The sequence below is a fragment of the Homo sapiens genome, chromosome 19, assembly GCF_000001405.40.
Source record: "Homo sapiens chromosome 19, GRCh38.p14 Primary Assembly".
In the NCBI taxonomy this organism is placed as follows: domain Eukaryota; kingdom Metazoa; phylum Chordata; class Mammalia; order Primates; family Hominidae; genus Homo; species Homo sapiens.
The window spans coordinates 34,478,309-34,499,211 of record NC_000019.10 but is presented as its reverse complement, the minus strand read 5'-3'; the positions used below and the strand labels follow the sequence as shown (position 1 = coordinate 34,499,211).

General features: G+C 55.5%; 1 protein-coding gene across 4 annotated transcripts in view, besides 5 other annotated features; it reads right to left on the bottom strand.

Annotated features, from left to right (window-relative positions):
• Positions 1–17,454, bottom strand: part of WTIP (WT1 interacting protein) — a 30,547-nt gene extending 13,093 nt beyond the window's left edge. For 2 of the 4 annotated variants that reach the window (NM_001080436.2, XM_011526452.4), the window contains exons 1-7: positions 16,571–17,454; positions 8,735–8,836; positions 6,108–6,175; positions 5,887–5,949; positions 5,590–5,720; positions 4,575–4,626; positions 3,441–3,509 (exon numbers count right to left, since the gene is read on the bottom strand). In NM_001080436.2, coding sequence (NP_001073905.1) covers positions 3,441–3,509; positions 4,575–4,626; positions 5,590–5,720; positions 5,887–5,949; positions 6,108–6,175; positions 8,735–8,836; positions 16,571–17,237 — 1,152 coding nt within the window. In that variant the 5' untranslated portion in view covers positions 17,238–17,454. Of the gene's footprint in view, positions 1–517; positions 651–3,440; positions 3,510–4,574; positions 4,627–5,589; positions 5,721–5,886; positions 5,950–6,107; positions 6,176–8,734; positions 8,837–16,064; positions 16,168–16,570 lie in introns of those variants that run through there. The other 2 variants (XM_006723014.5, XM_011526453.4) reach the window with 2 other exon arrangements.
• Positions 54–940: an enhancer, noted in NCBI's record as "H3K4me1 hESC enhancer chr19:34989177-34990063 (GRCh37/hg19 assembly coordinates)". NCBI's record gives its function as "activates a minimal SCP1, AML or CMV promoter by ChIP-STARR-seq in naive H9 embryonic stem cells {active_cell/tissue: H9 hESC(naive)}" and the evidence as "EXISTENCE:reporter gene assay evidence [ECO:0000049][PMID:30033119]".
• Positions 941–1,828: an enhancer, noted in NCBI's record as "H3K4me1 hESC enhancer chr19:34988289-34989176 (GRCh37/hg19 assembly coordinates)". NCBI's record gives its function as "activates a minimal SCP1, AML or CMV promoter by ChIP-STARR-seq in naive H9 embryonic stem cells {active_cell/tissue: H9 hESC(naive)}" and the evidence as "EXISTENCE:reporter gene assay evidence [ECO:0000049][PMID:30033119]".
• Positions 16,416–17,070: an enhancer, noted in NCBI's record as "H3K27ac hESC enhancer chr19:34973047-34973701 (GRCh37/hg19 assembly coordinates)". NCBI's record gives its function as "activates a minimal SCP1, AML or CMV promoter by ChIP-STARR-seq in primed H9 embryonic stem cells {active_cell/tissue: H9 hESC(primed)}" and the evidence as "EXISTENCE:reporter gene assay evidence [ECO:0000049][PMID:30033119]".
• Positions 17,071–17,726: an enhancer, noted in NCBI's record as "H3K27ac-H3K4me1 hESC enhancer chr19:34972391-34973046 (GRCh37/hg19 assembly coordinates)". NCBI's record gives its function as "activates a minimal SCP1, AML or CMV promoter by ChIP-STARR-seq in naive H9 embryonic stem cells {active_cell/tissue: H9 hESC(naive)}" and the evidence as "EXISTENCE:reporter gene assay evidence [ECO:0000049][PMID:30033119]".
• Positions 17,727–18,381: an enhancer, noted in NCBI's record as "H3K27ac-H3K4me1 hESC enhancer chr19:34971736-34972390 (GRCh37/hg19 assembly coordinates)". NCBI's record gives its function as "activates a minimal SCP1, AML or CMV promoter by ChIP-STARR-seq in naive H9 embryonic stem cells {active_cell/tissue: H9 hESC(naive)}" and the evidence as "EXISTENCE:reporter gene assay evidence [ECO:0000049][PMID:30033119]".

Sequence of the window (20,903 nt, the reverse complement as noted above, 5' to 3'; positions counted from 1 at the left end):
ACAGGGTCTCACTCTGTCGCCCAGGCTGGAATGCAGTGGTGCGATCTCAGCTCACTGCAGCCTCAAACTCCTGGGCTCAAGCAGTCCTCCCACCTCAGCCTCCCAAGCAGCTGGGACTACAGACATGTGCCACCATGCCCGGCTAATTTTTTTCCCCTTGTATTTTGTAGACATGGCGTCTTGCTATGCTGATCAGGCTGATCTTGAACCCCTGGCTTCACAACCATCCTCCCACCTCGGCCTCCCAAAGTGCTGGGATTGTAGGCGTGAGCCACCGCACCCAGCCAAACGTGATGGGGTTTTTTGTTTTTGTTTTTTTTGAGACAGAGTCTCGCCCAGACTGGAGTGCAGTGGCATGATCTCAGCTCACTGCAAGCTCCGCCTCCCGGGTTCACGCCATTCTCCTGCCTCAGCCTCCCGAGTAGCTGGGACTACAGGCGCCCGCCACCACGCCCAGCTAATTTTTTGTATCTTTAGCAGAGACGGGGTTTCACCGTGTTAGCCAGGATGGTCTCGATCTCCTGACCTCGTGATCCGCCCGCCTCGGCCTCCCAAAGTGCTGGGATTACAGGCGTGAGCCACCGCGCCCGGTCACGTGATGGTTTTTAAAGACAAAACAGGAGACCACCTCTTCCAGGGGGTGCAGATCACTAGAAAAGAGAAGACGGCAAACAGCAGAACCTTCCATGAGGAGGTGGGAAGAGAACAGGCCTGGGCAGAAGAGACTCAAGGAGAAACGAAAGTGAAGACAACCACAACCTGGCAGCCCCGAGGGCAAAGTGAAGCAAGTGGGTGGAGGAGGGAGCGGCCCTGTGCTCCAAGCTGCTGGGGGGCCCGGAAGGAAGTGTCCACCAGTTCCCACCACACAGGGGTCCCTGGAGCAGGGTGAAGGGATGAATGCCACCCCCGGGTGGTCTGAAGAGGCAATGGTGAGAGGACCTGGGAAGCAGGGGGCGGGCTTCAAGTACCCTATCTCGCAGTTTTTACCGTTGCGGGCTCGGGGCTGGAATGCTGGCGGCTTTGACCCGTTACCCAGAGCCCCTGACACCAACACCTGGCCCGCCCTGCGCAGGGAAGGGAGCTGGGCTGCTGCAGTGACACCACATCACTCCTTTCCCTGGTCTCCTGTCTGTCCCACCACAGGCCACTGGCTGGGCCCTGCTACCGACCGCTGCACACCAGGCCAGGGAGGAGTGCGGGGTCCCGGAGGTATCAGTCCCCATCCAACAGCCTCGCGGCAGCACAGCACCACCACCAGCCGCCTGCCCCGCTCTCACTCTCAGCGTCAACCTTTTGCTGCCCTCGGTACTGGACAATCTGCAGGGGACCGCACAGTCCACAGGACGGCCCAGCAAGTGGAGGGACGCGGAGGTCCTGTTAGGGCTGGAGGGGAGCCCTGGCCCCTCTGCAGACCATCCCTGCTCCTTGTCCTCCCTCCTGGGTACCCTGACACAATCGGTGCTCCCATGGGGCCACTCGCCTGCACCCAGGAGACCTTGTCACCCAAGGGATCCCTGATTGCTACTGCAGATTCCCCACCGCCACTTGCTCTGCTCTTGCTGGGGCGCGGTCGCCGGCAGCCTCCTGGTTCTCCTGCCCAGGCCTCCTCAGTCTCCCTTTGTGGCCACTTCGCCTGTGTGTGTCCTTAAATGACAGTGCTCCCTGAGCTATCCTGACCCCCACTCCTTCTTTTCCAACTCATCCTGGAAGACCTCACTTGCTCCCTGGCTTCAGCTGCCGTCCCTGTGTCCATCATGGGACCCTTGCTTCCCGCCAGAACGGAGGAAGAGAAATTGGATTTCCCCTCCCACCTTTAACAACGAGAGCAACAGGCTAAACAGATGACAGTGACTCTCAGACCCCGGACAACAGACCAGGGAGGCCCATCATCTCTCAGAGAGGGGAAATCTGAGAAGTGTACCCCACAACACCCGACTGACTGCCTGGAGACTGCTCCAGCTGCCCAGGGGAGCCCCGTGGTCTCCTTGAGTTGAGAATCTGGGGAGGCCAAGGCAACTGGAATTCCCAGGGCCAAGATTCAGAAAAGAAGGCCTGGTGTGGTGGCTCAAGCCTGTAATCCTAGCACTTTGGGAGGCCAAGGCGGGTGGATCACTTGAAGTCAGGAGTTTGAGACCAGCCCAGCCAACATGGTGAAACCCTGTCACTACTAAAAACACAAAAACTAGCCGGGTGTGGTGGTGGGTGCCTGTAGTCCCAGCTACTCAGGAGGCTGAGGCAGGAGAATTGCTTGAACCCAGGAGGCGGAGCTTGCAGTGAGCTGAGATAGTGCCACTGCACTGCAGCCTGGGCAACGGAGTGAGACTCATCTCAACAAAAAAAAAGATTCAGAGAAGAGAGCGCCACACGCCAGTGACCCCAAATTCCCACAGCTGTCGGCAGGGTCGCTGAACCCCCGCCCACTTACAGGTCTACTGGACATCTCCAGCTACCAAAAATGAGAGCATCCCATCCCCTCTTCCCCCTGCCCTCACTCTTTGCTGGGGTTCTCATGAACACCTCCCAACCCCCAACCCCCAACCCCCCACATCCAGACACTTGCCAAATCCAGTCCTTTCTACGGCCTAACCATCACTCAACTCAGCCCACCTCTGTGAACCCAGGCCCCCAACCCTGACTCCTCCAGCTGCTCAGGGAGCACCTGCCTTCACTCCCTCCCCCAGTGCACTCTCTGCGGGGCAGGAAAAGGACAGGTAGAATGGGGTAGACGCCATAAAATAGGTGAGGCTGGCGCGGTGACTCACGTTGCAGTCCCAGCACTTTGGGAGGCCAAGGCAGGTGGATCGCTTGAGCCCAGGAGTTCAAGACCAGCCTGGGTAACATGATGAAACCCCATCTCTACTAAAATTAACAAAATTAGCTGAATGTGGCGGCGCGAGCCTGTGGTGATAGCTACTCAGGAGGTTGAGATAAGAAGATAGCTTGAGCCAGGAGGTTGAGGCTCCAGTGAGCTATAATCGTGCCACTGCACTCCAGTCTGAGCAAGAGTGAGATCTTGTCTCTAATAAATAAAAATTTTAAAAAAAAATTTTTTTTGAGACAGAGTCTCACTCTTGTTGCCCAGGCTGGAGTGCAATGGCACAATCTCGGCTCACTGCAACCTCTGCCTCCCAGGTTCAAGCGATTCTCCTACCTCAGCCTCCTGAGTAGCTGGGACTACAGGTGCCCGCCACCACGCCTGGCTAATTTTTGTATTTTTAGTAGAGACGGGGTTTCACCATGTTGGCCAGGCTGGTCTCGAACTCCTGACCTCAGGTGATCCACCCTCCTCAGCCTCCCAAAGTGCTGGGATTACAGGCATGAACCACCGAGCCTGGCAAAACTAAAATTTTGATAAGGTAAGCCCACAGAACACCCAGAGAGGAGAGCCCTGTGGGAGGAGGCCTGCCCCAGCTGCCAGCCTCCTGTGGGCCCAGGCTCACCTCACAGTGGTAACATGCCACGTGGTAGTCTCTGTCCATGGACACCACACGGATGGTTGTCTCGCAGCCCTGGAGGAAGAGAAGGAGTTCACACACGATGAGCATGTGGGGACTGGAGGCAAACTGCGTGAGTGTACACTCCCACACACCACGCTCCTGTCCCGGCGGAGGTGCACGCCCGCCCCGGGGAGCACTGCCACGCTGCTTCTGTGGGGCGGGACAGGCTCCAGCAGGTGCACACACACAGACACATGCGGGCCTTAGGCGTCCTCCACGATCACAGCCCACAGTACGCACAAAGGCCCACAAGAGTGTCACGTGTTTGTCAATGGATGTGGACATTATTTTCACCTCACTGATCCTTTTTTTTTTTAAGAGACAGGGTCTCTCTCTGTTGCCCATGCTGGAGTGCAGTGGTGCAATCACAGCTCACTGCGGCCTCAAACTCCTGGGCTCAAGCAATCCTCCTGCCTTAGCCTCCCAAGTAGCTGGGACTACAGGCATGCACAACCACACCCAGCTAATTTTTTATTTTTTTTGTAGAAATGGGGTCTCACTAGGCGGCCCAGGCTGGTCTCAAACTCCTGGCTTCAAGCAATCATCCCACCTTGGCCTCCCAAAGTGCTGGGATTACAGGCGTGGGCCCCTGTGCCCGGCCTGTTTTCACTTCCTTGGAGTCTCAAAAGGGCACTGCCAGTTCTGCTTTGCCAGGCACACCAGCCTGGGACAGAGCCAGCACTGTGGGAAGACCCCAGGCCAGGAGAGCTGTAGCACCCATGGGTGGCTCCCGCACAGACCACGTCCATCTCTCATCTGCTCCCCCAGCACCCCCACCTCAGCCTGCAGAGCTGAGAAGACCCAGGGAACGGCCCTTCCATCAATGGAGAATGGAGCAGAGGCTGGCAGTGGGGCAGCTGAGCGGCAGGGGCCACCACTTCCCTCGACCTTGTGCCAGGGGACAGCTGTACCCCACGTACACAAGCACAACACACATCCCTCAGCCCTGAAAGATCTGCGGAGAAGCACCTGCTCATCCCTCCCACTGTCGCCCAAGACCTGGGCTAGACCCAGGCTAGACAGGACAGCAGCCGGCTGGGCCAGGCACCTGATCATCTCTGGGTGAGTGGCTCCTACCTGTGCAGGGAGGATAGGACGGGCACAGGAGGCGCATTTTGGTGCAAAAACCCTAGAGAAATAAAGGAAACCAGAAGTGATCAGCTGAGTGACCAGAGGCCAAGGGCACAAGCACAGGGGCACCCACAGGAACCCACTGACGTAGCCCAAGTATCAGGCCCTCTCTCCCTGTGTGCACACCTCGGGGCAGACAGGGAACAGCTTCTGCCATGCCTTCCTGTACTGGCCTCTTCTTTTTTTTTTTTTAATAGAAATGGGGTCTCACTATGTTGCCCAGGCTGGTCTCAAATTCCTGGGTTCAAGCGATCCACCCACCTCGACCTCCCAAAGTGCTGGGATTACAGGCATGAGCCACCATGCCCGGCCCTGGCCTCTTATCTGACTGCTCATTTCATCTCCACCCAATCACCTCCTCCAGGATGCCTTCAGGTTCTGCTCTGCCATCTGCCCCCATGTTTCCTGTGAGTTCTTAATGTCCAGGTCTGGGACACCACTAGCTAGGACCACTGTGAGACCTGGCTTCACCCTGAGTACCAGGGACCTCTGCCCAGGACTCCAATCCCACGGAAGGCCCTGCTCAGAACCAGAGCTCCCAGGAATAAACCTGGAGTCACGGTAGGAGGAAACAGATCAGGGATCAGACAGGCAGGAGAAGGGGGCTGCAGAGATCCCAAGCCCCTGCCCCAGCTGAAAGAGGCCTGGCCTGGCAGGGGATGGAGGGGAGGAGGGGGAAAGATGGTGGGTACTGCAGCCAGGAGGGTCCCCTGTGCCAGGAGTAGAGAAGCATGCAGGCCACGATAGGGAGAGAAGAGGCAAAAGACAGCTGGTGGCCGGACCACCAGGAGAGGGGATGCAGGCAGAGACACATGCCTGCCCCAAGCCCAGGTGTACAAGGGGAGGCGGAAGGCAAAAGGCCAAGAACAAAGGGCAGTCAGTCCAGCAGGAAAAAAATGCTTCCAGAGGAGCCAGGGAGGACGGCCCGAGTCCCGCCTGCTCCACAGCACCAGCAACTCACGTGTGATAGTCTCGCACGCAGTAGATGTTGTTCTCCACGTCCACGGTGAAGGGAACCCCGTCCAGGCACTCATTGCACACGGAGCACCGGAAGCAGCCTGGGTGGTAGGACTTGCCCAGGGCCTGCAGGATCTGTGGGCGGGGCACACTGAGGGGTCAGCGCGGGCAGGAGGCTCAGCACCGCCCTGGGAGAGGCTCTGGCCCTGAACCCCTGGCAGGTCTGGAGCAGGGGAGACGGTAGAGTCCTCAGACTCCACCCACGTCAGAGGGGCTCCAGGAGGCTGGGGCAGGGGCTCACCATTTCCATGATGAGATGTCCACACACGCTGCATTTGTCGGCCGTCTGCTGGAACCCGGAGTACTGGGAGGGGACACAGGATCCAGGACATTGTGTGACAAAGGGGCACTCGCGGCCCAGCTAGCACCTGCCTCCTGGCCTCAGGTCTCCACTCGAGTCAGAATGAGGGTCCCTGCCCCACCTCCCACCCCTGGCACTGCCAGGGCACAGCTTGGACTCACCAGGAAGTCCTCCTGGCAGTACACTTTCTCACCCACGTTGTAGAACGCCTTCCCACGGAGTCGTCTCCCTGCAAGGGTGAGGGTTGAGAGGGGTCCCTGGAACGCTGGGGACCAGGGATGGAGCCGTGCTTCCAGCTCTCAGCACCCTCCTCCAACAGATGAGACACTGGGTTATGGGTGGTTTTCTAAATTTCCCTTTAATATTATGTTGTTATTGTTATAATAACAAAATTTCAGAAAAAAATTAAACAGAACACATTGTCGACAGAGTTATTTAAAAAGGTTGCCAAAACAAATATATGAATAAATATTTTGCTCATGTAAATACATGTGTTGGTTAATAAACACATTCACTTGAAGATCAGTTGAATTCACAGCAAATTTTCGGGAATGAATCTTTTTTTTTTTTTTTTTTTGATACAGAGTATCACTGTGTCGCCCAGGCTGGAGTGCAGTGGCGTGATCTTGGCTCACTGCAACCTCTGACTCCCGGGTTCAAGCGATTCTCCTGCCTCACCCTCCCAAGTAGCTGGGACTACAGGTGCCTGGCTAATTTTTGTATTTTTAGTAGAGATGGGGCTTCACTATGTTGGCCAGGCTGGTATTTTTTTTTTTAAGACAGGGTCTCGCTCTGTCACCTAGGCTGGAGTGCAATGGCACAATCATGGCTCACTGCAGCCTCAACCTCCCAAGCTCAAGTGATCCTCCTGCCTCAGCCTCCCAGCCTCCTGGGAGGCTGAGGCAGGAGCATCGCTTGAGCCCAGGAGTTCAAGACCAGCCTGGGCAACATAGCAAGACCCTGTCTCTAGGAAAAAAAAAAAAATTAGCCAGTCGTGGTGGTACGTGTCTGTAGTCCCACTACTCATTGTGGGGCTGAGGCAGGAAGATCACTTGGGCCCAGGAAGTCAAGGCTGCAGTGAGCCGTGATTGGGCCACTGCACTTCAGCCTGGATGAAGACATAAGACCCTGCTTCTTAAAAAAAAAAAAAAAAAAAAAGACATTGAACACAAGATCAGCCATTAAAGAGTATGCACTATAGGAATGCATTTATGTTAAGTTCTAGAATGGACAAAACTTTTCTACAGTGGTAGAAATCAGAATACCAGTTGGGCAAATGTGATGGGGGACATACAGGGATCAACTGAAAAAGGGCAAGATAGGGCCAGGCGCGGTGGCTCACGCCTGTAATCCCAGCACTTTGGGAGGCCAAGGCAGATGGATCACGAGGTCAGGAGATCGAGACCATCCTGACTAACACTATGAAACCACATCTCTACTAAAAATACAAAAAATTAGCCGGGCGTGGTGTTGCGCGCCTATAGTCCCAGCTACTCGGGAGGCTGAGGCAGGCGAATCACTTGAAACTGGGACACGGAGGTGGCAGTGAGCCGAGATCTCGCCACTGCACTCCAGCCTCGGGGAGAGCGAGACTCTGTCTCAAAAAACAAGTGGGGGTACAAGATAGAAGTTTCTAGGGTATTTTACCGGGCAAGGTGACTCACACCTATAATCCCAGCACTGTGGGAGGCCAAGGCAGGCGGATCACAAAGTCAGGAGATCGAGACCATCCTGGCCACATGGTGAAATCCCATCTCACTAAAAAAATACAAAAATTAGCTGGGAGTGGTGGCGTGTGCCTGTAATCCCAGCTACTCGGGAGGCTGAGGCAGAAGAATCGCTTGAACCAGGGAGACGGAGGTTGCAGTGAGCTGAGATCACACCACTACACTCCAGTCTGGCAATAGAGCGAGACTGTCTCAAAAAAAAAATATAAAATTAAAATTAAAAAACGTGCAAATACATAAAAGATGTCTGATTAAGGCAAGGTCTGGAAGAACAGTGGGCAAACCAAGAGTGGATATTTATTAGGGTGGTTGGATTATAGTTCCTTTTTTCTTTTTATAACTTTGTCTAGGTTAAACTATAACACTTATAGTTTATGTTGGGTGTAAAATTATGATCAAAAATAAATTGTAGGCCAGGCGCAGTGGCTCACACCTGTACTCCCAGCACTTTGAGAGGCCGAGGCAGGCGGATCACTTGAGCTCAAGAGTTTGAGACCAGCCTGGCCAACATGGTAAAACCCCATCTCTACCTAAAAAAAAAAAAAAAATTAGCCGAGCGTGGTGGCACGTGTGCCTATAATCCCAGCTACTTGGGAGGCTGAGGCAGGAGAATCTCTTGAAACCGGGAGGCAGAGGCTGCAGTGAGCCGAGATCATTCCACTGCACTCCAGCGTGGGCAACAGATTAAGACTCTGTCTCAACAACAACAACAAAAATAGATAGCAGGAAAAAGAAATATTAGTCGTATGTCCAGACAGGCAGAAGGTCCTTCATGGGCTTCTGACGCTGCTCCCAGGCAGCTGGGTGACATGAGCGCATTAGTGCCCTGCGTGGCACAGAGGATCCACAGCTGACGACCAGGGGGCAGCCCTGTCCTACAGCCAGCAAAAGGCTCCTCAGGGGCCCCATGCCTCCTCCCCAGACAGAGTCCTCCACAGCCCAGCCTGGGCCAGAGCCAGGTGGTCCATCTGCCTGGACTCAGGGGCAAGGCAGTTTGAGGGGAATGGGGATGATGTGGCAGGTCCCCTTCACAGAGCTACCCAGGGCACGAGGTTACCTACCACACGAGTCGCAGGTGAAGCAGTCAGTGTGATAAAGACTCCCCATTGCCTGGCACGCCTGCTGGGCTCCGTAGATGCCAAGCCCACACTTGATGCAAATGCCTAGGAGAGGAGAGGCAGGAGAGAGCAGGGGTTAGCGCCACAGCCTATGCCACACCGACGGACTCCCCGTCTTGACACCGCCCACCCGCTTGACCTGGGGGATGCTAACTTTCCTAGGCCAACATCACTCGATTACTGATGACCAACATGGGCACCATCAGGGTGGCCACGACCCAGGGATTGCCGCTGCTGCTGTCTGAGGATTCAAGGGCTTGGCCGAGCACCCAGGGCAGAGTCGGAGCTAATCAAAGCTGTCCATCACAACTGTTCTGATAGATTCTTTTGGTTTTTGATTTATAAATAGGGACAGAGTCTCACTATGTTGCCCAGGCTGGTTTCAAACTCCTGGGTTAAAGCGATCCTCCTGCCTTGGCCTCCCAAAGTGCTGGCATTACAGGCATGAGCCACTGCACCCAACCACTTTTAGGTTTTTTTTGGGAGAGAGACAGGATCTCGCTCTGTCCCACAGGCTGGAGTGCAGTGGTGCAATCACAGCTCACTGCAGCCTCAACCTCCTAGGCTCAAGCGATCCTCCAGCCTCAGCCTCCCAAGTAGCTAGGACTTCTGGCACATGCCATCACGCACGGCTGATTTTTTCTTTTGTAGAGACAGGGTATTGCTGTGTTGCCCAGTTGCCCAGGGTGGGCTCAAACAATCCTCCTGCCTGGGCTTCCCCAAGTGCTGCAATTACAGGCGTGGAGTCACCACACCCAGCCTATCATGGTATCTTTATACCAAGACAGTTGCTTTAAGCCCTTTCATCCATGGCCTGCTCTTGGACTGAGGGAAAATCCTTCATGCTGTTTGTGAACCAAATCCTGTTCTTCAACATGTTTTGTGACCCAGACACAAAGAATGAAGACCACATGGGCACTCAGGGGCAGTCACCACCCCTCTGCAGCCACTCTGTCCTCCTCTGTACCCACTCTGTCCTCCTCTGTACCCACTCTGTCCTCCTCTGTATGCCAGGGTCCACTTATTCTCTTGGTCAGTCAGCACACAGATGAGTCACATGCCCCTAAGGTCAGGCACCACTCAGTCTGCAATGCACCCAGGTCCCCACCTTCAAGAAGCTTGCATCGAGTGGAAGGTGGCAGAGAACAGCAGTCAAATAACGTCAGGCAGAGACGAGTGCTACGGCGTTAGATGCAGGATTTTTTTTTTTTTTTTTTTTTTTTAGATAGAGTCTCGCTCTGTCGCCCAGGTTGGAGTGCAGTGGCGTGATCTCGACTCACTGCAACCTCCACCACCCAGGTTCAAGAGATTCTCCTGCCTCAGCCTCCCGAGTAGCTGGGATTACAGGCATGTGCCACCACACCTGGCTAATTTTTTGTATTTTTAGTAGAGATAGGGTTTCACCATGTTGGCCAGGCTGGTCATGGATTCCTGACCTCAGGTGATTCACCCACTTTGGCCTCCCAAAGTGCTGGGATTACAGGTGTGAGCCACTGCTCCCGGCCTTTTTTTTTTTTTTTAGGAGAGTCTCGCTCTGTTGCCCAGGCTGGAGTCCAGTGGTGTAATCATAGCTCACTGCAGCCTTGACATCCTGGGCTCAAGCAATCCTCCCACCTCGGCCTCCCAAGAAGCTGGGTCCACAGGCAGGTACTGCTATGCCCGGCCAAGGATGTGTGATTTTTAAACCAGGTATTCACAGAAGCCTCACTCACCAGGTGATACTTGAGCAAAGGCCTGAAGGAAATAAGGAAGCGGGCTGGGTGCAGTGGCTCATGCCTGTAATCCCAGCACTTTGGGAGGCCGAAGTGGGAGGATCACTTGAGCCGAAGAGTTCCAGACTAGCCTGGGAAACACAGCGAGACCCTCATCTCTACAAAAATTTTTAAAAATATCCAGGCATGGTGGCATGCACCTGTGGTCCCAGTTACTCAGGAGTCTGAGGCAGGAGGATCACTTAAGCCTGGGAGTTTGAGGCTGCAATGAGCTATGATCATGTCACTGCACTCCGGCCTGGGTAACAGAGTGAGATGTCTCCAAAAAAAGAAGAGGCCAGGCACAATGGCTCACGCCTGTAATCTCAGCACTTTGGGAGGCCGAGGTGGGTGGATCAGGAGGTCAGGAGTTCAAGACCAGCCTGGCCATGATAGTGAAACACCATCTCTACTAAAGATACAAAAATTAGCCAGGCGAGGTGGCAGGCACCTGTAATTCCAGCTACTTGGGAGGCTGAGGCAGCAGAATCACTTGAACCTGGGGGGCGGAGGTTGCAGTGAGCTAAGATCCCGCCACTGCACTCCAGCCTGGCCGACAGAGTAAGACTCCGTCTCAAAGAAAAAAAAAAAAAAGGAAGCAGACAGACATGAGGGTCGCTGCTGTGCAGGTGCCTATGATCAGTGGATGGAATCAGGGACCACACCTGTGTACTCAGCATGCAGCGGGGAAGGTGGAAAGGAGAGGGGTGACCAGCAACGCCAGGGCCAAGCCTGGCTCTAGCCTCAGGGCACTCCCTGGCCAGCCCTCCTGGAAACCCAGACAGTAGGCAAGTAGCCCATACATCTCGTGTCCCCTTTACAGGGTCACCCAGGGCCTCCCATGCCACACAGGGCATGAAGATGGCCTCCACCTGCCCTCTGGACCGTAAATCTTCTGCCAGCTCCAGGCCATGCTGCCCTCCCCCGACCTTCTTGCTTTCTCCTTTCATCTCTCTCCTTAAATAACCTCCTCTCCCTCCTCCACCAGCCGCCCCATTCCCCGCCTTTCCTCAGTCAACAAAGAGAACATGGCCCACACTTGGTCATCTCCTAGCCGTCCCCATCTATGGACTTTCCATTCTGATCTTGCTATCGGGTGGCCCACCTCTTCCTCTCTGGTTTCTAGGATGCAGCCTGCACCCAGCTTTCTGGGTCTTCATCTCCCTTCCTGCTTTCCTGGGTACCCCCTGCTCTGCCCAGGGCCTCCCATGCCTCACTTTACCACTGGGCAGAGAAAGCCAGTTCAGATGCCTTCAGAACCAGGCAGGGGCCAGGCGCAGTGGCTCACGCCTGTAATCCCAACACTTTCGGAGGCCGAGGAGGGTTGATCACTTGAGGCCAGGAGTTTGAGACCAGCCTGGCCAACATGGTGAAACCTCATCTCTACTAAAAATATAAAAATTAGCCGGGCGTGGTGGTGGACACTAATCCCAGTTGCTTGGGAGGCTGAGGTGGGAGAATCGCTTGCATCTGGGAGGCGGAGGTTGCAGTGAGCCGAGATCACACCACTGCACTCCAGCCTGGGTGACGGAGCAAGACTCCGTCTCAAAAAAAAAAAAAAAAAAAAGCAGGCAGGGACTGGGCTTGGTGGCTCATGCCTGTAATCTCAGCACTTTGGGAGTCTGAGACAGGAGGATCACTTGAGGCCAGGAGTTCAGGCTGCAGTGAGCTGTGATCGCACCACTGCACTCCAGCCTGGCAACAGAGCTAGATCCTGTCTCTAAAAAAAAAAAATTAAAAAGAAACAAAGGGAAGGGGCCAATGAAAAGAGGAGAACTGAAGGTGCAGGAGGTGGAGGTTGGTGATGGAAGGACCCTTGTCCTCTCAGACGGCAGGAGAGTCAGACCCACATGGACTGGAGCACCTACAGGGAAGGGGCAGGACGGTGGTGAAGACAGACTACAACTGCTGACCTCAAGATTCCAAGGGAAGTCAGAAGCAAAGGTAGGGGTCCCAGGAGGGAGGAAGGTTGTTGAGAGAATAAGAGAGGAAACTGACAAAGGCGGCCAGGCGCGGTGGCTCACGCCTGTAATCCCAGCACTTTGGGAGGCCAAGGTGGGCAGATCACGAGGTCAGGAGATGAGACCATCCTGGTTAACACAGTGAAACCCTGTCTCTACCAAAAATACAAAATATTAGCCAGGTGTGGTGGTGGGCACCTCTAATCCCAGCTACTTGGAAGGCTGAGCCAGGAGAATCACTTGAACCTGGGAGGCGGAGGTTGCGGTGAGCTGAGATCTCACCATTGAACTCTACCCTGGGCAACAAGAGCAAAACTCTGTCTCAAAAAAAAAAAAAAAACAAACTGACAAAGGCTTAGGGTGTCAGTGGTGACAGGAAGACCTGCGTGGTGAGGATGACAAACCTCCCACAGTCCTGAGGGGTTCCTCAGAGCCCTTCCCAGCCTGGTATAGTGGCCGCAGAGGGGGTCAAAGCATGGGCTCAGAGTCGGGGTTCTGCTGGGCAGACGGCGATTACAGGAATGAGAGGAACTGCTGAGAAGCAGACTGGAGTTACCACTAAGGACTGCTAGAGTGAAGGGAAAACGGTGTGGCCCTGGGAGTGGGTGGCTGAAGAGAAGGCAAGGAGGTCACCAAAGTTGAAAAGGTTCCGGAAGCCCAAGGCTGTTGGCTGGCTAATGGCAGCGGAACTTGGGGAGGGGAGAGGGGAAAGTTCCAAAGACATCAGTGAATGGCAGAGAGCAACCAAGAGGTCAGCTGGTACCAGGGCCAAGGACAGGAAGAGATGAGGGGTTGGACAGAGAGAAAAAAAGCTCTGGCCAGGCGTAGTGGCTCCCGCCTGTAATCCCAACACTGGGAAGCCAAAGAGGGAGGATCGCCTGAATCCAGAAGTTCAAGACCAGCCTGGACAACAAAGCAAGATCTCAGGTCTACAAAACATAAAAAAATGTAGCCGAGCATGGTGATGCACACCTGTGGTCTCAGCTACTCAGGAGGCTGAAGCAGGAGGATTGCTTAAGCCCAGGAGTTCAAGGCTGCAATGAGCGCTGATCTCACCACTGCACTCCAGCCTAGGTGAGAGGGTGAGACCCTGTCTCTAAAAAAAAAAAAAAATTAATTTAAAACAAAAAAGCCACACTCTGAGGACGAGGTTTATCAGAGATCACTCGAGCTTATGCTACCTGCAGATTTTCTTTTGTAAAATGCTGTATTATTCTGGTTGAACTCTATGAAACTGCCACTTTTGTAGCTCAACAAAGTCAAATATCATCAGAACCATATAGTTCAAACAAATAGTTGCCCATATTTTTTAAAATCAGGAAAGTGGGCCGGGCATGGTGGCTCACACCTGTAATCCCAGCACTTTGAGAGGCCGAGGCAGGTGGATCACCTGAGGTCAGAAACTCGAGACAAGCCTGGCCAACATGGTGAAACCTCATCTCTACTAAAAATACAAAAATTAGCCGGGCATGGCGGTACGCACCTGTAATCCCAGCTACTGGGGAGGCTGAGCCAGGAGAATCACTTGAACCCGGAGGTGGAGGCTGCAGTGAGCTGAGATCGCACCATTGCACTCCAGCCTGGGCGACAGAGCAAGACTCCGTCTCAAAAAAGTTTAAAAAAATAAAGTAAACAAAATCAGGAAAGTATTACTGAATCTCAATTTCTAGTTTTTCTTGAAAACAAAATAAAAAAGGTCTATCATCACTCCTCTAACACTCTCAGGGCGCTACAACAGCCCGATCTGAGCAGCTTTTTTTTTTTTTTTTTTTTAAAGAAAAGACAGGATCTCACTCTGTCATCCAGGCCAGAGTGCAGTGGCACGATCATAGCTCGTTGCAGCCTGGAACTCCTGGGTTCAAGTGCTCCTCCCACCTCAGCCTCCCAAAGTGCTGGGATTACAGGTGTGAGCCACCGCACCCGGCCTAGCAGCTCCTCAGAAAAAAAATGTGCCACCACACCCTACCTTCTTGTATCATCTCCACATTACCTGCCTGGGACCTCAGCCACCCCTATATCATATAAAGATTCAGGGGTGTCTACAGAACACCCCCCTCCCCCGGGCTCTGCAGTACACAGGGGCCGGGAAATGGGCACTCTCCCCTGCAGAGGGCACTGGAAAGCATGCCCTTCAAAACTCAGCCCCAGCCTCTCTTCCTGGCACCTGCCTGACACGGGAGATGACAGCTCCTGGCACATCTCCCTGCTCCCAGGCCATCCAACAGGCGCCACGAGACCTGCCCAGCCACAGAGTCTCACCATGACCTCACAGATGGGAGGCGCTCTCCATCCCAAAGCAGGCGCACCTCCTCTTAGCCCACATATGCCCTCGACCACCTGAGCCCTCTGGGCTGCAACCCCAGGGGGAAGAGCGGGGCAATCTCTCATCCCGCCTGGCCTCCTCTGCTCATTCTTCCCTCTCTCTGGAATGCCCCCACCTGGCCCCTCACTGACAGACTCCTCACCCCTCAAGATCCAGTTCAGGGCCGGGCACGGTGGCTCACGCCTGTAATCCCAACATTTTGGGAGGCTGAGGCAGGCGGATCATGAGGTCAGGAGATCAAGACCATCCTGGCCAACATGGTGAAACCCCGCCTCTACTAAAAATACAAAAATTAGCTGGGCGTGGTGGCGCATGCCTGTAATCCCAGCTACTGGGGAGGCTGAGGCAGGAGAATCGCTTGAACCAGGGAGTCGGAGGTTGCAGTGAGCCAAGATCACGCCACTGCACTCCAGCCTGGCGACAGAGCGAGATTCCGTCTCAAAAAAAAAAAAAAAAAAAAAAAAAAAAGATCCAGTTCAGGGCAGCCGTGAGCTGCTGACACCATTGAACGCTCAAAGACACAAACCCCAGGACAGCCACGGTCCCAGGCATGGTGACCATCCATCCACCAAAGCCAGGTGCTTAATACAGAAGGCGGGTTGGGAAGTTCTCGCCCCAGGCCCCACAGTATACCTCTGCCCCGCTCACAATCTCACCCCAAGAGCTGTCCCAAGAACTAGAGATCAGGGGGCCTGGGCCACACTGGGAAGTGGAGGCTGTGAGGCTGCTGGGCTTTGCAGATGCACCTGCAGCAGGATTCCTTTAGGAAACATCCTATGTCCACAGCACAGTCCGGGCGAGGGCAGCCCCGTGTGACTGGCACGGTTCCCCTCTCCCGCAAAGTGGGCTTTTCTTCCCTCACACAGTCTCCCTCTCCAGCCGCTACCATCACCAAAGCCTGGGTCAGGCGGTATCCGGTGGTACCTGGGCCACTCCATCTCCCGGTTGCTGTCCACACCCATACCGTGGCGGGGCAGACGGGGAAGCACCCCTTTCTGCTCATCACGAAGCATGAAAGGATCAGATAGAATGAGAGCACCAAACGCAAAGAAGAAAAGATCAGGCCGGGCGCACTGGCTCAAGCCTGTAATCCTAGCACCTTGGGAGGCCGAGGAGGGCGGATCGCTTGAGCCCAGGAGTTTAAGACCAGCCTGGGCAACATAGGGAGACTCTGTCTCTACAAAAAAAAAAAAAAAAAAAAAGTAAGAAGAAGAAAAGCTGGGCATGGTGGTGTGCACCTGTAGTCCCAGCTTCTCGGGAGGCTGAGGCGAGAGGATCGCTTCAGCTTGAGAGGCGACGGCTACAGTAAGCCGAGGACGCGCCGCTGCACTCCAGTCTCGGCGACAGAGGAAGACCCTGTCTCAAAAAAAAAAAAAAAAGAAGAAAGAAAAAAAAAAAAGAAGAAAGAAGAAAAAATTATCAGAAAATGGCTCAGTGTGCCCATGAACCTGACTTGCCTGTTAAGTTAGGAACCGCACATCAACTCACTCGGCCAGAACCCCTCGTGTGTCGGGGGACCCAGAGGCAGGGGTGAAGCCGCTGCTGGGGATCCAGGCGCACTCACTCACCCTTTGCGCTCCCCAGTCCCCAGGGGATGCACCTTCCTCGTCCCAACCCCGTGCACTGCTGCACCCCCAGCCAGCCCCGTGCTCTCCTCCGCTGATCCGGCCGCCTACCCGAGGCAGTCTCGGAACCCCGGACCCCAGCCATGCGCGCAGGGAACTGCCGGGCCGAGCGAGCTCACCGAAGTAGTCCCGCGCCGTGCGCGCCTCGAGCGCCCGCTCCAGCTCCCGGGTGAGCGCCTCCAGCCGCCGCTCGGCCGCGCTTGGGCCGCCCTCCCGGCCAGGGGGCAGCGGGAGTGCAGGCAGCGGGAAGGGAGCCGGCCCCGCAGGCTCCGGGGAGCGAGCGGGCGCGGGGCAGGCGCCGGGCGGGAGGAAGTCAGCGTAGGCGCCGGCCGAGCCCCGGGAGCCGAGGCTGGAAACGCTGGAGCGGGCGCTGCCCACCGAAGGCGGCCCGGGACCGGGACGCGGGTCCGAGCGACCGGAGCGCGGGCTGCCGTGGCGCTGGTCGTAGCCCAGGCTGATGCCGCTGGATCGGGCGCTGCCGCCACCGCCGCCGCCGTCGGACCCCGCCAGGCTGGCCCGTGGGCTGCCCGCAGGCTGCGCGCTGAGCTCCGGAACCGCCGCGCGCCGGGGACCCCGCTCCCCGCGGCTCAGTCCGTCCGCCCCGGCCTCGGGGCCGCCGCTGCCCTTCCCTCTGCGGCCCAGCGCGGGCGCCGCCTCGTCTCCAGGCCCAGGCCGCGGCCCCCGCCGCCCCCGACCGGGAGAGCCGCACCCGGGCTCCAGCTCCCGCAGGGCCAGCCCGGCCAGGAGTAGGGCCGCCTCGTCCGCGCCCGCCCTGGAGCGCTGCATGGCCCGGCCCGCCGGCCCTGGCGCGTCACCTCCGCCTCCGCTTCCCGCCGCCGCTCCGGCCGGGCCGCCGCATCGTCCGCCCGAAGCCCGGAGCCCGCCCCGGGACCCCTGGGCGCGGGGCGGGGCGGGGCCGGCGCCGGGCCGGGGTCGTTCCGGCGGCCACGCGCGGGCCGGGGGACGCGGCGCCCTGCTCGGCGGCGCGCGCGGCGGAGGAATGTAAGCTCCCAGGCGCCGGGCCGCGCCCCCTCCTCGCCGCGGCCTCGCGCGGGGCGGAGGGACTCCTTTGCGGGGGCAGGAATGCGAGGAAGGAGACGGCGCTGCGGCCTCTGGAATGTGGGGGGAGTGGCGGCGGCCGCGCTGCGCCGGGACCTCGGAGGGGCGTGGAGGCCGGGCCAGGACGCAGGGGCGGGCGGCGGAGGCACCGCGGGGAGAGCCCAGGGTCTGCGGGGCGCCCGGGCCGTCGGGCCGCTGGGAAGAGCTCGGATTTCCGCAGGCTGAGCTGGAGGCAGCTGGCGCCATCCGGGCCGGAGAGATCCAAGCAGTCGACAGCTTTCCCCACATCCCGCCCCATCTCCCTTCCCTGCGCCGCCTTGCTCTCCGGCGCTGCAGGGCCGACCCAGCTCAGCTTGGAACCCACGGCGCTTCGCCCGTCCCGCGCCCAGGAATACTGTGCGCCTAGCGCAGATGCGTCCCCACGACCCCCTGCCTGGCCCGGGGCCATGTGGCCGCGCACCGGCCTCTGAAGCCCCCATCTGACTGCTGGGGAAGGCGCCCAGAACTAGGAGCGGGTTGGTTGGGGACTGGTCCTCGCGCTGGGTCGCTTCGCCCAGGCCCCCAAGGCCAGGCTAGAAGCAGGCCTCAGGCTCAGAGCCGGTGGGCGGCGAGCCTCCCCTGTGGCCATCACAGGCAGTCCCCGTGAAATATGGGGACTCCTCCCTTTTCCAGCACCTGCATCCAGGGTGGTGGGTGAGGCTTCGAGGGGAGGTCCTGGAACCAGCGGGGCCATAGGGGCCACATAGGTGGGGAATCGAGAGGTGACTAGGGCTTCGTGCCCAAGGACACAACTAAAATCCCTTGTACAAGTCACACGGCTATAGGGAAGAAAACCAAACCGTTATCTGTCAGGGCCTGATGGATCCAAGAAAAGTGTTGCGTGAGAGAGTACTGTTTTCCAGGCCCTCTCTGCTCAGAGATTTTCGGGAAGGCGCCTACAGTGGCTCAGCGCGCAGGGAGCCCGCACGGGAACTGTCCCGGCCAGACCGCCCAGGGCAGTGTGGCCTCAACACCACTGAGCACCCGCTGGGGCCGCTAACCCCAGCACCTTCCCATAGCCTGCGGAGTTCCAGCCCCTGCCCCACCAGGGTAGGGGAAGTGGAAGCAAGCATTTCGTGTGCGCGGAGGGTGGGGGAGTTGCGCTGTTTTGTTTTTTTCAGACAAGGTGTCGCTCTGTCCCCCAGGCTGGAGTACAGTGGTGTGATCACAGCTCACAGTGATCACACACACCCCAGAGTCTCAACCTCCTGGGCTCAAGCAATCCTCCCACCTCGGACTCCTGAGTACGTAGGAGTACAGGCGCACACCACCACACAAAACGCTGAGATTACAGGCATGAGACTCCGTGCGGGGTCTAGAAGCCAGCATTTGGGAGAGCAAATACCCAGGGAAGCCAGGACATGAAAAATGGTCTACCTTTCAAATGAGAAAGGAAAAGCCAGTTCAGTCATATCACATTTCATGGACTGCATTATCTACTATTTAAAAATTACAATATTGGCAGGACTGTGGTGAAACAGTTGCACATATGCTACTGGTATGAGTGCAAATTGGGATATCCTTTTGGGAAGAGCAGTTTGGCGGTGTCAACATCCGCACAAACGAACACGAAACTTAGAAGCAGTAATACTGCTGCTAAACATCTATTCAAGGGAAGTTATCAAAAATGCAGACAATAATCCAATCACAACCGTGTCGTATAATCCCAACATCATTTAGGTAATCTACAGCGGTCCCCAACCTTTTTGGCACCAGGGACTGGTTTTGTGGAAGACAATTTTTCCACAGACAGGGATGGGGAGGGTGGGAATGGCTTCAGGATGATTCAAGGGCATTATATTTATTGTGCACTTTATTTCTATTATTATTACATTGTAATATATAATGAAATAATTATACAACTCACTATACCATAGAAAGAGTGGGAGCCCTGTGCTTGTTTTCCTGCAACTAGACGGTCCCATCTGGGGGTGATGGGAGACAGTGACAGATCATCAGGCATTAGATTCTCATAAGGAGCACACAGCCTAGGTCCTTCGCATGCGCAGTTCACAATAGGCTTCGTGCTTCTGTGAGAATCGTGGTGGGACTCAGGTGGTAATGCTCCCTCGCCTCTGCTCACCTCCTGCTGTGTGGCCCAGTTCCTAACAGGCGGTGGTATACTGGTCTGTGGCCCAGGGGTTGGGGACCCCTGATCTATTCTGTCCTAGGATCTCCAGCCTTCTGAAAAGATGCTCAAAGGGAGCTCTCTGCATTTAAAGGCAGCTGTTGGGCTGAGTGTGATGTAATCCCAGTGCTTTGAGAGGCCAGTATGGGAGGATTGCTTAAGGCCAAGAGTTCAAGACCAGTCTGGGAAACATAGTGAGATTCCATCCCTACAAAACATTAAAAATTAGCTGCCAATGGTGGCACATGCCTGTAGTCCCAGGTATTTTGGGAATCTAAGGCGGGAGGATGCTTGAGCCCAGGAGGTCAAGGCTACAGTGAGCAGTGAGGGCACCACTGCACTTCAGCCTAGACAACAGAACGAGATTCATCTCTACAATAAAAAACAAAAAATTAAACTGGCGCGGTGACGGGCACTTGTAGTTCAGCTGTTCGGGAGACAGAGGCGGGAGGATTACTTGAGCCCAGGAGTCTGAGGTTACAGTGAGCTATAACTGTGCCACCACACTCTAGCCTGGGTGACAGAGCAAGACCCTGTCTCTACAAAAACAATAAAGTCAAGTATTTAATAACTGTTCTGGCTGGGCACGGTGGCTCACTCCTGTAATCCCAGAACACTGGGAGGCTGAGACGGGCGGATCACTTGAGCTCAGGAGTTTGAGACCAGCCTGGCCAACATAGCGAAACCCTGTCTCTATTAAAATACAAATACAAAAATTAGCTGGGTGTAGTCGTGCACGCCTGTAATCCCAGCTACTTGGGAGGCTGAGGCACAAGAATCGCTTGAACCCAGGAGGCAGAGGTTGCAGTGAGCCAAGATGACACCACTGCATTCCAGCCTGGGTGACACAGCAATACCCTGCCTCCAGAATAATAATAATAATAATAATAATAATAATAATAATAATAATAATAATAACAACTGTTCTTTCCCCACCTGCCCACTTAGAGCTTTCAAGATTTAAACTATATTCACATCCAGGGTCAGCTAAAACCTATTACTTGCTCTACTAGTAATAAATGACAACTACAAAACCCAGAAACAACCTAAAATGTTTGATATTTACCATTAGAATAGTTTAAGTACATCCTTGAAGTGGGAAATACATTAAGCAGTTATATTCAAAAGATTTAATGAATGGCTTGGGAATCAGACTATTGTGATGTTAGGTGGATTTGAAGTAGTCTGCAGAATTGTGGGGTCTCATCTCTACATTACCCAAATGT